Here is a 15,802-nt window from a genome sequence, read left to right as displayed (position 1 = left end):
CCTGCTGTGTTGACACATGACCAAGGGAGCGGGGTCCTGGTCAGTTCCTGGCCATTGTGTCACTCCAGCTGACAGTGCTGCTATGGGGCCCAATGGCACCTGATCTCCACCTCCTGAGGTCTTGGAATAGATGTCCATCTCTCCATATAGTATGTATCAATGGTGTTTCAGTTGTTTGCCTTGTCTGTTATCATCTGACTGCAAGCCCTTCTGAGGGGAGGAATTCAATTTGTATTTTATGCTGAAACACCTGGCCCAGCATGACTAAACAAACAGGTGTTGGTGTTACAAAAACATGCTGGACACCCTGTTTAGGTGGATGTGGCAATTTACTGCAATTGATATGTCCTGTTTCTCAGCCCCAGATGGGGCAGGAGGGGCTGGGTGGGTATCAAAGGACAGAGGATGGAGTAAAAGGCATGGCTGAGATTGAGGCCCTCCAGAACCTGCCATCTTCAGGTCCTCCTTGGCTGATGGTGGTTGGACCCAGGTGCCATGGAGCCTTCTTGGGGCAAACAGAGAAATGCACAAGCCCAACTCTAAATTCAGGTTGGGAGTGGGCTGAGGCAAGGGAGGGCAATACAAGGGCACATTGGGTTGAAGTCCAGAGGAGTTTCCTCACTGTTGGGAGGGTGGGAGCATAGCTCATAACTCAGTTTCCACTTGGTTGTCCACTGTGCCCTCTTGCAGTTCTGTGTGGGGTAGAATCCTGAGGATCTCTCTAGGTGATGCTTGCGTATGGTGGGGGTAAGGTGGTGATAGCGCATCCCTGACCTAGTGTTTATCACAGATAGGGTAATGGGTAGAGCCTGCCACCCGCCACCCTCCCCACTCCTGCCCTGCAATTGGGGTCAGAGACCTGCAGTGGAGACTTGGCTTTCCAAAGGACTAGTTAGCTGACCTAGAGACACCCGGTAAACCTCACTAAGCCTTTCTTTCCCAGAAAAAAAATCGTGTTAAATACTGGTTCATGGTTCCCTACCTCACAGCCATACAGTTGAGATAACGTAAAGTAAGAGCATGAGTTACTTCACTTAGGCTAACCCCTAAGGCTATTGAAATTTTAAAATTATAAATAAATCAATAAATGACTACAGAAAAAAAAGAATGTGGGTAGAATTGGAAAGCCCTTTGCACATAGTAGCCTTTATTCTAGCTGGGTTTGTGTACATTTCAGTACCCAGCATACCGTTGATGGTAGATGGAAGGCTCTCAGAGGAAAGCCTGGCTTTTCCCAGAGTGACGTCATGGGAAGAGGATATTTGGAGGCAGATAGAACTGGGTTTTAATTCTGGTTTCTCTCTGAAAAATAGTAATAATAATCCCCACCTCATAGGGTAATAGTTGTGAGGGTGAATTATTTCATTGAAGACTTCCAGGTTAGGGCCCAGCACATAGTCAGTTCTTCATAATTTCATTCATTCATCCTAGTGAATGTCTATTGTGTGCCTGCTGTGTGCAATTTGTCTAGCAGAACTAGAAACATTTCTAGGCACCAGAGATATAGCAGTTTCAAACATTCTAGTTGGGGAAGAAAGACAACAGACAAATACATAATATGGCAGGAGGTTTGAGTGCTGGGGTAGGGTGTAGGATGTAGGGATAGAGAAGGCTGGGGATATGGCTTCCCTCTGAATCCAAGTGGTCAAGCAAGGTCTTTCTGATAAGCAGACCCTGAAGGGAGTAAGGCAGTGAGTTGTCTGGGAAGAACATTCCAGAAGAAAAAACAGCAAGTACCAGGACCCTGATATGGGATGTGCTCAGCCTATTTGAGAAACTCTAAAGGGATAAACCAGTGAGCCAAGAGGGAACAGCAGGAGTTAAGGTCAGAGAGCTAACAGAGGTCACATCAAATAGGCTCTGGCAGTTCATAGAAGACTGGAATTTTCCTCTGCATGAGAGGAGGCCACTGGAGAGAAGGCTTGGAGCAGAGGAGTAAAATGGTCTGACTTATAAAGGGATTGCTCTGGCTACTGTGCTTCTCATAGATTATAAGAGGCAAGGCAGGTGCAGAGAGAGAGTTGGGGGCTAGCACAAAAATCTCAAATAAAGTGGCTGGATCAGGGTGATAGCAGAAGAGGTAGGGGAGCAGGGTTTGGATTTGGGATACATTTGGAAAATACAGCCAGCTGGATTTTCTGATAGAATGCTGGTAGGGTATGAGAGAGCAGTGTCAGGAATGACTTTTGGTTTTGAGCCTGAGTACAGAAGGATGAGTTGTTTAGTTGCTGAGTTGTTTACTGAGATGGTGAAGACTACAGAAGAACATGCTGGTTGGGGATGGGAGCAGAGGTGGAATCGGCAGTCCACTTTGGGTGTGTTATGGATGAGACACTATGAGACATGTAAGTGAAGATGTCAAGTGGGCCATTGGCTAAACCAGTTCAGAGTTCAAGGGAAAAGTCCAGGAGGAATAAATCTGTGTGCAGACACATGTTTAGGAGATGATTGCATGCAGTGGCACTGAGCTGTGAGCTGGCTTCCAGTCCCACCGTCACTACTCTCCTGCTGCAGGTAGTCCTCCTCATCAATTAGCACCTAGATGAGTTCTTGGCAGGATGCAGGCTCACAAAAGCTGCTCAGTGGCTTCACTAATGCGTGTCCCAAGGGAATGAATGAAGAAGCGAAGCCAGAAACGAACGGTCTAACCAATGAACAAATGTGCTGGGGGAACACTGCCCTGTGATTGGTGTCTGGGATGACCGCCATGGAGCAGGGCTAGCAGCTGCTCTGCTGTGCCCTTAGAGAGGCTTCTCTATTTGGGGGTGCCCAACTTCAATGCTGGCTTCTCCAGCCAGGCCCCTGTTTGGCAGTGAGCCTCCTGCTGGTGGCCCCATCTTTCTTTGCAAGTAAACAAAGTAAGCTTTCCTTAAAAACCTTAGAGGGAAGCTCAATGAGAAGAATGCAAATGCATCCTTGAGTAGAGATCCCAGTCCTCTGGATTCAGGTCTCTGGCTGGACTGGTTAAGGAATTCAGGACAAAGTTAGGAAACTTCTAGACACTCCTGGGACCGTGCTTGAACCAGGGAAGCCCAAGGCAGCCATGAGCCCACAGTCATCCCTCTCACAATGAACGGGCATAATCAGAAAACATGAGCCTGGGCTACCCTCTGAACACCATGGTCCCAGATCTGCCAACAAGAACAACCCCCTCACCCTCCCTGATGGATGGCATTTCCACTGAGTTGGGAGAGGTCTGGGAACTAACCACAGGGCCGCCCTCCTCCCTAGCCCCATCAGCCCTTTCTAGGCTGATCCCAAGGCTCCTGGGAATATAAAATTAGTTCTTCCTCTCTTTCAAAAGTCGAAGATGGCCATGAAAAGTTTTCAGTACATGGTCCAAAGAACCAGAGCTGTGAGGACATGGTGTCTTGTGCACAGAGATTTTGCATCCCCTGTAGGAGGGTATCAAATAAGGAGGTGAGTGGGAAATTGTCCCTGGTCAATGGCCAGCTCCATCCCAGTCTGCCCATGCCTCAGAGTACTGTCTCCAGGGCGGACAGTGTTTAGGGGCAGCAAGAGAATACTAAGACTAGAACTTCCATTTCTTTCTCTTGCTTTAACATTCTTTTGATTCAATAAAGGGTTTATAATAATTCAGGGTATTAGTACAAGAGTACACATGTATATAATTTATACTTAAATAACTAAACTTACTATTTCTTAACTGATGAGGGGCTTGATCAGAAGCAACTTGAGGATCCCTGTTTTAGAGACTACAAACTCTGAGGCAGTGGAGGAGAGTGGCACATTTCCAGTGATTCCTGAATGGTTGTCTTGTCCAATAATAAAATCTCAGCCCCTCAGGGTAAGGGCTATGCTGTATGTGAGTGCTTGGCAGAAAAAATGTTGAAATGGATCAGGTACAAAAGGTATTTTGCCCTGGCTGTGAGTTAGCTAGATGCAAGCTGAGGGTGACTAAGTTTTACTTGACACCCCCCCTTGCAACACACACACACTCACTCATACACCCTCAGAGAGAACTCTATCGCTGCTCACATGCCACACCCACCTTCCAGATAGGAACCTTCAGAAATCAACTTCACATGCAAACCTCACCAGCCCTGCTTCTTTCTCTCTCTCTACATACACACGCACACATAAATATATATAATATGTAACACATTATGCATGTGTGTATATATATACAGCAATAGTAATAATGCATAATATTCTTTCTCACATCTCTACATCTCCAGAGGTAGCCAATGTTAATTGCATGTTGTGAATCTTTTTACTCAGTTATCCTTCTATGCAGAAAAACATACAAATATACACACTTACAAATATAAAGATATATACAGGTTGGTTTTTAAAAATATGAATGCTATCTTAATTTCACATTCCTCTACATGTTTTTTGTCATTTTACAATGTGTCAGAGGCATCACTTAAGCCAGTAGAGATAAATCTAGCTCATTCTTTTTAATATCTGCATAATATTTAATAGCTTGTTTGTATCTTAATTTAGTCAACCATTTCCCTGTTAATGGACATTTGAGTTGCTTCCAATTTTTTGCCACAATAATCAATGCCACAATCAATCAATAAACAATGCAATGCAATAAATACTCTTGTATATATATCATGTAAAACTGGAGCTTTTATTGCTGTAGGATAGAGTCCCCAAGGTGAAATATATTACCCAAAGGAAACAGGATTATCCAAAGGAACTCAGGATCCTGTTTGGTTGCTTTCATGATTTAATAAAATTCCGGTTAGACTGCCTTATATTCAACAGAGCCAACAGAGACCCATGTCATGCATGTGCAGGGGAAGGTGCACTCCACCCACGCCCAGAGTTGTCCTCTCTTTGTGCTTTATGCACACTGGGCTTCCCTGTAGGCTTGACCACCTACAAGGCTTTGGCCAAGAGTAGCTTGTCCAAGGCAGGGTGGGGTGGGCAGAGGAGCATGTGCTCAGCCTCTTCCAGGGTTAGCCACATCCTAGTGAGTGGCTGTAACTTCTGGCGAGAGCAGGAACTGTGCATTCAAGCAGACTGAAGACCTCCCAGCTCACTCCCACTTCACTGTGCCTCCAGCAAGCCACACAAAGCTGCGTGTTTGCCAGGTGCATTGTGCGTGCTCTCTTTACTAGGAAATTTAACTTGGAAGCCTGGTGCTTCAGTGTCTTTTTCAGGATTGGGAAAGGGTGATGATTTAACAAGAGTCCCTTCATCTCCCTGCCTCATCATCTCTCAGTTCTCAGTACAACAAGCATCCTCCATGAAATATGGGTGGCATGGTCCAGAATGTGGGTATTCTAACTTGCAGCCCTGAGCTGCAGAGCTTCTGGGTCAGCTCCAGTTTTCCACAGCGATTCATTCACAGCTGTAATTTGTGGATGTGCCTGTGTTGCTCACTACCCTGCAAGTGTCTAATTTCTAAATCCCCCCATTACCACCTCCTAAACTCACATAGGCATTGCACACAGTAGTTACTCAGCAATTGGTCAATATCTCTTGATCAAGTCAGACATTGAGGTCCAGAGCCCTTAGGAAATGCCCAGCTGGAGACATCCGAGGCCCCCTCCCTGCTTACCTTCACAGCCTTTGCTCTGTTGATGAGCCCGTCGTCCTGAGAACTCCCAATGAGCAGATCGACCTCTACCCATAAAGACCTCTTCAGTGCTCTGGCTGGAGGCTCACGGAGGAAGTGGCCATCGATCACAGGACCCCAGTAGTGGAAAGGGCCACTCACGGCCAGGAGCTGCATTGGATGCAACAATAATCAGTTGTCCTGGAATAATCAGTTGCACTGCTTTGCATAAAGAGGTCTTAACCATACTGAATGCCAATACTGGTTATCCATCTATGACTCTACTGAGAAAAAGTGACCAGGACAACTGGCAGGCAGGACACCATGTGACAAAGTCAGGGGCTGGAGGGTGAATGAATCTCACTCTCAGCAATGATGGTCTCCAGGGGAGCATCCCAGAGGTAACAGCAGATCCCCAGGTAGGGATGGGAAAGCCTGAGCCTGTAGGTGGGTGAGGAAGGCAGGAGGAGACAGTGGTTGAAGAGGAGGCAGTGACTCTGACAGGTGAAATTCACCAGCTCCAGCTATGATCAAATTAGCCTGCACTTAGGGGAGCTGAGAATAAGACCTGCTCCAATTCTGTGAGTCCAGACTCATTGCTAAGGCGATCAGGCCATCAATTGCCATGACAATTATTCCTGCTAATGTCCCCTTCATTAATGTGAAGGCCAGCCAGAGATTTGGTCTGCAAGCAAGAACTTTGCATGCTATAAAGGGAACACACAGCTATCCCATATAAGGGAGTGAAGTGACTCAAATACACTGCCATCTGTGAAGCCATGTCTGCAATACTCAACACATCTAGCTGTGACCTGTTAAGGGTTTGGTCCCCTGCCCACCACGGTCCTGGAGTGAGGCCAAATCCTTCACATGTGTGACTTCATTTTCTCCTCCTACTCTATAAGGTCTGTATAACTATTCCCATGTTATAAATAAGAAAGACAAATTGCAGAGGCATCTGTCTACCCTCAGTGCCCATGTTTGGACTGTTGCAGGCTGTGGCGCATGCACAGCTCTAGGGGCTAGGGAATGTGAGTTCCAGCTCCAGTTGGTCATCAGCCTCATGTGTGGTATGGCTGGGGTGGGTGACACCTCCTTCCTAGGTCTTCATTTTCTATTTGTAAAAGACCAGAGAATGTCCCTTCCCAACTTGCACTTAAGTGCTCACCTTGGTCTGGGCATCATTGAGGACATTGGCAGGCTTCTGGCGGAGGCAGGACACCACTTCTTGGCTGGATGACATGGGGCAACTGACCTCCTTTGCCAAAGCAATTGCCTGCTGCTGAGCCCTCTCATGGCTGATGACGGCGGCCGGGGAGAGTGCGGAGCCTCCCTGGAAGAGAAAGCAGGCTCAGGGCAGATGGTTCAGATCATCTTCAGCCCCTGCTCACCTGGAGTCCTCAGTGCCACATCAGGGTTCTGCATCCTTCCTCCAAGCTTGGGAGTCCCAGGACCCATTCTGGGGCTGCACACAATGGGAAGATAAGGATTGGTCAACAGCATATCAGCATGCAGTGTGATACTGAAGATGTCTCTCTAGGCCTCAGTTTCCTAACCTGTGAAGTGAGGGTGCTGCACAAGGGAACCTTCAGTCTTGGCTGTGCAGATGAATTTGTATATAGAGGCAAAGGGCTGATGGTTCTTTAAGAGGATCGGAGATTGTGGCAAAGTCCTCTGGGAAGAGAACTCTGCAAAGATAGAACCATCTCCCACCAGCACCTCCTGGGGGGCTCCTTAACTAGCAAGCTGCATTAAGATGGAGCTGGACTTTAAAATGGAAGCCCACCTAGGAGGTGACGAAAACACAGTCTTTGTAAGGGTAAATTGCTTCATCAAAATCAGGGTACTCTCTGTTAAAATGACTGGTTTCTCACTTTGGGAGGCTGAGGTGGGCGGATCACAAGGTCAGGAGATCGAGACCATCCTGGCTAACACAGTGAAACCCCATCTCTACTAAAAATACAAAAAACTAGCCAGGCGTGGTGACGGGCGCCTGTAGTCCCTGCTACTTGGGAGGCTGAGGTAGGAGAATGGCGTGAACCCGGGAGGCGGAGCTTGCAGTGGACCGAGATCGCACCTCTGCACTCCAGCCTGGGAAACAGAGCAAGACTCCATCAAAAAAAAAAAAAAAAAAGAAAACGACAGGTTTCTTCTTTCTAATAATGAAAGTGGTAGGAGCTGGGTTCCAGGAAGTTCATCTCTGCCCGGACTTTTGGTAGAATTGGGTCATCCGCCTGGGAGGAACAAATGAGCTGAGTGGGGTCCTGACCAGTGTGCAGTTCCAGGGTGCATCCGCTATGGGGCTCCCCGTAGCTCAGACACTGGCTGCCCACTGAAGAGTCATGGGTAACCAGGGGAGGCAGTGGTGGTGATACCAGTGCCACTGCTCTTACCCCTGCTACTGCCACTGATGGAAATAATAGCAACCACTGTGGATTGAGGGCTCCGACAAACTCACTCAAGAGGTTCCCTATTTCAGCTCATCAGACCCTCACAGCAATTGTATAAGTCGGTTGCTCTTACTGTCCCATGTAACAGTTATGTTAGGAGGCAGGGCTGGGATCTGACCCCAGCGGCCAAACACTGAGCCACTGTGAAGTGGCCTTTCATACACCTGGTAGGTTCCTGATGAAAGGTGGTGGCACTGTTGTTACGATGATCTCTGTTTATTGTCAAGCTCAAGAAGGGACATGTGGCTAGGGTCAGAGGCAAGGCCAGTCAGAATCTCAGCCAGTGGCAAGGAAAAACACAAGTGCATGGAATTGGGGGATCCTGGACACGGCCGCTGTGAGACCTGGTGCCAGAGGAACTTTTGTAATGGCTCTGGGCTTCTCAGAACATGCCTGGCAACTAGGTCCATAGACTCCAGAAAGGGCTGGGAGATACACGTGATTTTCTGTCCTTAACCGCTTAGACAAACTCCGAGTCTCCTGGTCCTGCTTTAAAACAAAGCAAGGCTCCTGGGCTACGTGATCTCCAGCCAGTGGCTCACTCTGCTCTCAGCATTTTTAAAAGAGAGAGAAGAATCCTAACTCCCAGGATCCTCTGATAAGCAGCAGCAATAAAAGTAAACTACTCAGCCAGGCCAAGGCCTGGAATTCAATGACCCAAGGAACAAGCGTCAATATGATTTAGCCTATTGTTGAGTTCTTGTGCCCTCAGGTTTATTTTTCCAACAATGAGCAGGGCAGCTTTTTTTAAGAACCATTGGATGTACTTTAAATTAAAAAAAAAAAAGAAAAGAAAAGAAAAGAAAACACACACACACACACTCAAAATATTCAAGCTCAAAACTCCGTGTTCTGAATAGCAAACAGCAGAAGGGCCCACAGGCAGGCAGAGAGGAGATGTGAATGTCAGGATGGGGCCCCCACTGACGGTTTCAATATTTCCTTCGGCTATAAAAAGCCAGGGATCCTGATATGGTGAGGAAGTGGTTAAAGGCGTGGGTCACACTGATATTGCAAGATGGCTAAGAGAATGTTTCTTTCTCTTAAAGTATTTTGTTTAAATTGATCTTTCTGAAGGAAACCTTTTTCACCGTGGAAAATTGGTGTTTACGCAAGCCAACGGTTGACTCAGCCTTCATTTTAAAGCACTTGATTAGAGACAAAGCACTCGGGGGCAGGAGGGGAGTTGCTGTGCAGAGGTGTGTAGAGAGCATGGGATTGGGGCAGAAGGGCTCGGTTTGAACCCCAGCTGTGTCACTCCCTGATGAAGTGGGCTTGGGCAAGTGACCATCTGTGATGAGAACAATCAACCATACGTTATAGGGTTGCTGCAAAGATGCATGAGGCCAGGTAGGTGAAGAAGCGTGTCCTCTGCACAGTGGGAGCTGTGGCTGCACTGTGGTTAGTGCAGTGACATTCACGGGACCCCACAGGATGTAAAGGGATCAGGTCTTCTCAGTCCACCCAGCCATGCCTGTAGGTCCACAGCCCTGGGCTCCGGCTTTATCTAAATCTGACCTAGCTATTCAATGGCGAGGAGTTTCCACTGGCTGTTGTTTTTTTAACTTTAAAAATAGTTCAGGTCAAAACCACAATTGCTGACCACTGCTTTTTGTTCCTCGGGCCTCCGAACATGGTAAGGTGCCTTGACCTCAGTTAGTCACTGTAGTTGCTTCGGAGTCAGGGCCTGCGCCTGGCCAAGCACACATATCCACACACACAACCACAGATGGAGACACACTCACGCAATCAAGGAGTTTATTGGTACCACTTCTCAGAGGATCCTGGGAGTTAGGATTCTCTTTCTCTTTTAAAAATCCTGGAGATCAGAGTGAGCCACTGGCTGGAAATCACACAACACAGGAGACTTGCTTTGTTTTAAAGCAGCACCAGGAGACTTGGAGTTTGTCTAAGTGGGTTAAGGACACACACAGACACTGACAGAGACATATGCTTACGTGCACAGACACACAGCCACAGATGGAAACACACACACACACAGACGTAGCCACAGATGGAGACACACAGTCATAGATAGAGACACACTCACACAGAGATACACACTTACACACACAGACACTCATGGTCACATAAAACTCACAGGCATACACTCATGGACACAGGGAGACCCACACTTAGAAACACACACAGTCACAGAAACATCCAGCTACAGAAAGAAATATACACCCACACACATAGACACACACTCACATAAGTGCAGAAGGACACACAAACACACACAGTCACAGAGACACACACGCACAGTCATAGACACATACTCAAAGATACACACACATAGACACACCCAGACACCTACAGATAGACTCACACACTCAGACACATACACACAAACACACACACAAAGCTGCCCTTGTTGAAATGGACCCTGCAGCATTTCCCGGGAGGAATCCCTCAGGCAGCCTCCCCAGAGCAGCTCCAAGAAGCAAAGCAACAAGAAGCGGGGTGGGCAGCTACCCGGACAAGCAGGAGGTCTGGCAGCTCTGCCCTGGGGCATCCATGTGTCAGAGGGTCCTCTGGATGGACTCCGCCTCCCTCCTGGCACGCCTTGCACTTCTCAGTCCCACCCTGGAATGTGAATCCTCATCTACAGTGGTGTCTACCTCACATGGAGAGGGGAAGGATGGGAAGCCCAGTAAGCAGGTGCTCAGTGAGCTCCTTATCCATCAGGCACTTCGTGGAATCGAGGAGTTAATTCCTACAAAGCCCTTGCAGCAGTGCCCAGCACAGACACAACAATGAAGACGAGGACAAACATTCAAGTAGCACATCCTGTGTGCCTGGCATTGAATGTGGGCTGTACGTGTAGAAGCTCACCTACCTCTCAGAGCAATCCCAGGAGCTGGGTAACAACAGTATTATTTCAACTTTAGAGGGGGCTCCAGGGTAGAGTTGAAGCCACTTCCCTAGAGTCTCAGAGCTGGGGGTGACAGAGCCAGGATTTGAGCCTAGGCTGCAGGTGCCAGAGCTCCATGTTCTAACCAGTGTGTCATCTCGTGCTTGTGGCAGACAGTTCCTTTCTGTTCCCGGGGGGTGCGGGGTGAGGCCAAAGCAAAGTAAAAAGCTCATGGCTCTTGTTCCAGATAGACTGGGGTTTTAATTCCAGCTCTGCCCATGGCCATTTTGCCAATTTCCTTTGTCTTTCTGAGCTTCCAGTTCCTAACCTGTAAAATGGAGATATTATGATCAGCGTTCACAGAGCTGATGTGCAGATTAAAGGAGACAATGGAGGGAAAATACCTGATGTGTAATTTGCACTCAAAGTTGGTTGTATTCATCATTAGGAATGTTATTATCCATGATTTAATGCCTACAATGTAACTTGATGAAACTCCTCGTTACAACCTAGGCTGATGGGGAGCAAGTCCCTTGCGCTGTCTGACTTGGGGGAAAGTGCCTCTACATGCAAAGCAGCTGTGGGGCTGCCAACTTGCTTCGCTTCCCTGTGGTACCACACACGGGCCAAGGTGCTTTTTTGCTCACTCTCTTGATTTATGTCCTGCCACAGCACTATGAAGTTAAATCAGGTAGGAAGGACTATGTCTTTTCAGGGAGAAATTCTCTGCTGCACAGAACCTGAACCCAGGTGTTCCAACTCCAAACCCAGGGCTTCTCTCTGCTTCTCCTGGGAGAAACCAGATGTGTGACTTCTAAGCCCTCACCAGACCACTGGGCCTCTAGAAACGTGACTATCTCTAGCTGGCTTATTGAATGCTGGCTTATTGAAATCAATTGCCAAATATTACCTGAGAGTTATCAACCTTGTATTTCTTTTGACTCTATTTTATTCCAGGCAAAGTGAGTCACAAAGAAGCATAAGTCTCAAGCCCCATTTAGGCGGATGCTTTTTAAAAATGTGTACTATATCCAGCAGGACATATGTACTGGTGACCTCCAGATGAGCTCTGTCCAGTAATCAGCAGGAGTAAGCCAAGAATTCTTGCACTTTGGGAATTCAGGGGAGGGAGGGATTTCTGGGCACTAGGGTGGCCCAGAAGAAGCTGCAGAGAATCATCAGGACTTGAGTGGGTTTCCATGGGAGGAAATAAATGGGAGGAACAGGGTGGGTGACCATTCCGAGGGGGAGTGGGCAGGGATGGCAGTGGGGTCAGAGGCTGATTACCCAAGGGAGTTATAGACAGGAGCTGGGTCCTAAGTAATCCGACAGCCCCAGGACAGGGCCTGGAACTCAAAATATGTATTGCATGAGTGAGTGAATGACTGTATGAGTGAGGGAGTGAACAAATGAATGAATGGCAGGCAGATGGACCAGTGACTTCTAAATGAAGAGAAGAATTTCCATAGAAGTGTAGTGAGAAGTAAACTTCAGAGGTCATTAAATCCCAGACTAAGTAAGAGATGTGATTTAGAAGGCACCAACCCTGGGACACAGAGCAGGTATCCTTTAGGCAACGGGCAATGAGGAATCCATAAAGGCTTTTAAATGGGGTATTACAGAAAGGGCTTGGGAATTTCCTGTCACTGGGTCCTTTGTCTTTGCATTCTCAGTGCTGAAAATGGTTGGTAGTGCTCAGCAGGCCCTCAGTAAAGGATGGAGCATCAATACCTCCTGAATGTGAGCTTCTGATGGCAGGGGTTGGGAGGTAGTTATTCCTCTATCCCCAAAGCCCAGCACAAGGTGTGGAACACCATATGCGGAACAGAAGAGAACTGGAAATGAATGTCAGGATGGTGGCTCGGCTAGTTGACTGTGGGATGGACTGGAGTGGGGAGCATCTGAGTCAGGGAGCCCATCGGTGACTTGTAAGGTCTAAGGATAAAGGGGTAGTGTGTGACCCAGAGTGCCATGTCTCCACCCTCGCACCGACCTCTCCTGGGAACTCACCCACACCTGGAAGGTGCCACCAAGGTGTCGTGGGCCAGCTGAATTGTGGCATGCTATTGAGCAGCCAGGACAGCTTAGGAAGAGAGCTCTGGAAGCTAAAGCACAGATGGACTTTTTTTAAACATCCAAGTTTATATTTGTATTCTCTTGCATGTTTTCTACACTAAAATCATCTTGTTTTCTTGATCCCTAAAAGCCTGAGTTTTACTCTTATTTGTAACACTTCAGTTTTGGCAAAACTTCCATCACAGGGACAGTAATTAATACAATTCGTCTTGAAATCCCAGTCTTAGGGCATAGGAAAAAAGGCATCAAAACTACCTGTTGGTATAGACATGATCTAGGAGACAATCTGAAATGTAGGATTTGAAGAAGGCCTAGTGAATGCTATTCCTTCTTTTTTGTATAAAAAGTGCGTGTGTGTTTACTTAAAGGAAAGCAGAAAAGAATTAAACATTTATAAGGCACCTTCTAAGGGCCACATCATTTATTCACATTTTCTCTCATGATCTCCAAAACAACCCTCTAAGTGTAATATTAGAATCCCTATTTTACAGATAGAGAGACTGAGGCTTGGAGTGGGTAGGTAATTTTTCCAAGGTCATAGAACTGATCAGTAGCAGGGCTAGAATTATAAAGGTTTCATTGTTCCCCCCACACTGTGCTACCTACCCGAGAAAACAGCAAGCACATCACAGACCCTTATTTTCCATTCCACTCATGAGCGGCTGGTGGATGGCCACTCATCAGCAAGGTTTTTGCAAGGGTGGCTGGGACAGCAAGAGGAGGAGGAGGAGGAGGAGGAGCAGGAGGGGAGCCTGGCTCCTCCATCACAGGAATGCCATAGGGCTCAAAAACACACCATGTTATGTCTGCAGACTGAAAAGGCCTTGTGAGACAAGGGAGAGTCTATCCCAAGTTGCTTTGATTCACATGTACAACCGTGCTGCATTCTGCTTAAGACAGAGCTCTCGCCTCTATTGGCTCCTTTAAACTCCCACTACCATCCTAGGAAGTAGGAAGAACCAATATTATTGAAACCGCTACTTTCTTAATCATTCTTCTGTGTACGGCCCACTTCATTCCAAGAAGAATTTGCGGTACACTCAAGAAAGAGAGTCTAAGAAGTTTAAAATCCTGCCAGTAGCAGGTGAAAGAGGTTAAGACCCAGGTTTTCTGGCCCCAGGTTTTCATTTCCCATGATTCCGTGCTGTCTCAACAGCTGGAGGAGGTCACGTGACATTCACAGGCATCCAGTCCCAGGGTACCTCCTGCTGCCTGGCCCCACTGGGTTTATTTGAATAGTCTGACTTGATCAATCCACAGAGCCTTCTAACAATTCAAGGTGAGTGAATGATGGAGGAGTTCTATTGGCTTTTTATACTTTTTAGACTATTCTAACTTGTCTCCAATGAATTAATGTTACATTTTTAATTAGAAAAAATTTAAATTACATTTAAAAGATGAATTCCACACTAAAATATGACTGATCCTTGTCAAAATGGAAACAGTCATTATAACTTATTGTGTAAGCACATCAGTGGACAAGTGACATGGCCAAGTCCATTTAGAAAACCTTTGCAGGGACAATAAGAGGTGGGAGAGAAATGAGTCCCCTCACACCCCGAGGGAGGAAGGAGGTGGTTCTGGCTGAGATAAGAGGTCCAGCAATAAGCCTTGCTGTCTTCACAGATAGGCACAAATGCAATCCTTTTCATACTCTAGAAAAAGGCTGTCATATACTGCTCTACATCCATCAGTGCGACCTTAGCTTATTTAAAGGGGAAACAGAAAGCCCTCTGCAATTTTTAAAGCAAAAATAGCAGTCCCCAAATAGACAAAACAAGTGAACGAAACAAAGAAAATTAAAATTACACATAATCCTCCCAATCAAAGAAAACCACTGTTAAATGCTATTAGCCTCCAATATGTCTCTTCCGTGTGTGTGTGTGTGTGTGTGTGTGTGTGTGTGTGTGTGTGTGTGTGTGTGTAAACATATATTCAGGAAATCTATACAGCATATTGTTTTTGAGCCTATCTTTTTCACCTAACAATCCATTGTCGATATCATTCTGTATCATTACTTATTTATTTACAAGATTGTTTTCAATGCCAGCATGCTAATTACATTTAGGATTTTAGGTTATTAGGGAGAATGTTATAGACAGGTTAGGGGCACCTGCAGGCAATGAAATATGATAGACTTGGATACAAATCCCAGCTCTGATTTGCAACTGTTTGATTTGAGACTTTCTTCATCTGTAAGGAACATAACAATATTGAGAGCTTCCCCATAGGATTGTTGTAATAAAGAAATGAGAAAGTTTTCCTGTAACAGTATGGTGCATTACAAATTGTAAATATTTAATAAATGATGGCTATTATTGTTTCAGGTTTTATGATGTTACAGACAATACTGCAATGTACATCTTTATAACTAAATCTATTCACATATCCATGATGATTTCCTTATGCAAAGGCATTACTGAGTCAAAAGGTATAGTTTTTTTTCATCAAAAAGATAATAAAAATGTATTAAATGAGTTGTTTCCATGGCATGTTAATAGTTTCTCATTAAATAGGTGCCACATGAACATCCGTATTAAAGAAGAATATTTTTGTTGTATGATAAACATTTATCCAGTATTTCAAACTATGATTCTTGGTATCTATAGCTAACTTTAGGAAATTGTATTATTGTGATATAATTCACATACCACAGAATTCACCCACTTAATTCAATGGTTTTTAGTTATAGTCACAGAGTTGTGCAATCATCACCACATCTAATTTTAGAACATTTTCATTATCCCACAAAGAAATTCTGTACCCATTAGCAGTCATTCCCCATTCTCCACCCTCACTCCCAGCCGCAGGCCATCACTAATCTACTTTCTGTCTCTGTAGAGTTACCTATTCTGGACATTTCATATAAATGGAATCATAGAATAT

At 46.0% G+C, this 15,802-nt stretch overlaps 2 protein-coding genes across 13 annotated transcripts in view; one reads left to right on the top strand and one right to left on the bottom strand.

The window, feature by feature from the left end:
* Positions 1–15,802, bottom strand: part of TG (thyroglobulin) — a 267,942-nt gene that overhangs the window by 32,987 nt on the left and 219,153 nt on the right. For 8 of the 9 annotated variants that reach the window (NM_003235.5, XM_017013794.2, XM_006716622.4 and 5 more), the window contains 2 exons: positions 6,705–6,869; positions 5,540–5,707 (listed from right to left, as the gene is read on the bottom strand). In NM_003235.5, the coding sequence (NP_003226.4) occupies positions 5,540–5,707; positions 6,705–6,869 (333 nt within the window). Of the gene's footprint in view, positions 1–5,539; positions 5,708–6,704; positions 6,870–11,054; positions 11,169–15,802 lie in introns of those variants that run through there. The other variant, XM_017013798.2, reaches the window with a different exon arrangement.
* Positions 1–15,802, top strand: part of SLA (Src like adaptor) — a 65,875-nt gene that overhangs the window by 690 nt on the left and 49,383 nt on the right. The window lies entirely within an intron of this gene.

This window comes from Homo sapiens, chromosome 8 (assembly GCF_000001405.40).
Source record: "Homo sapiens chromosome 8, GRCh38.p14 Primary Assembly".
In the NCBI taxonomy this organism is placed as follows: domain Eukaryota; kingdom Metazoa; phylum Chordata; class Mammalia; order Primates; family Hominidae; genus Homo; species Homo sapiens.
The sequence above is the reverse complement of the archived record's forward strand: the minus strand, read 5'-3'. Positions and strand labels throughout refer to the sequence as shown.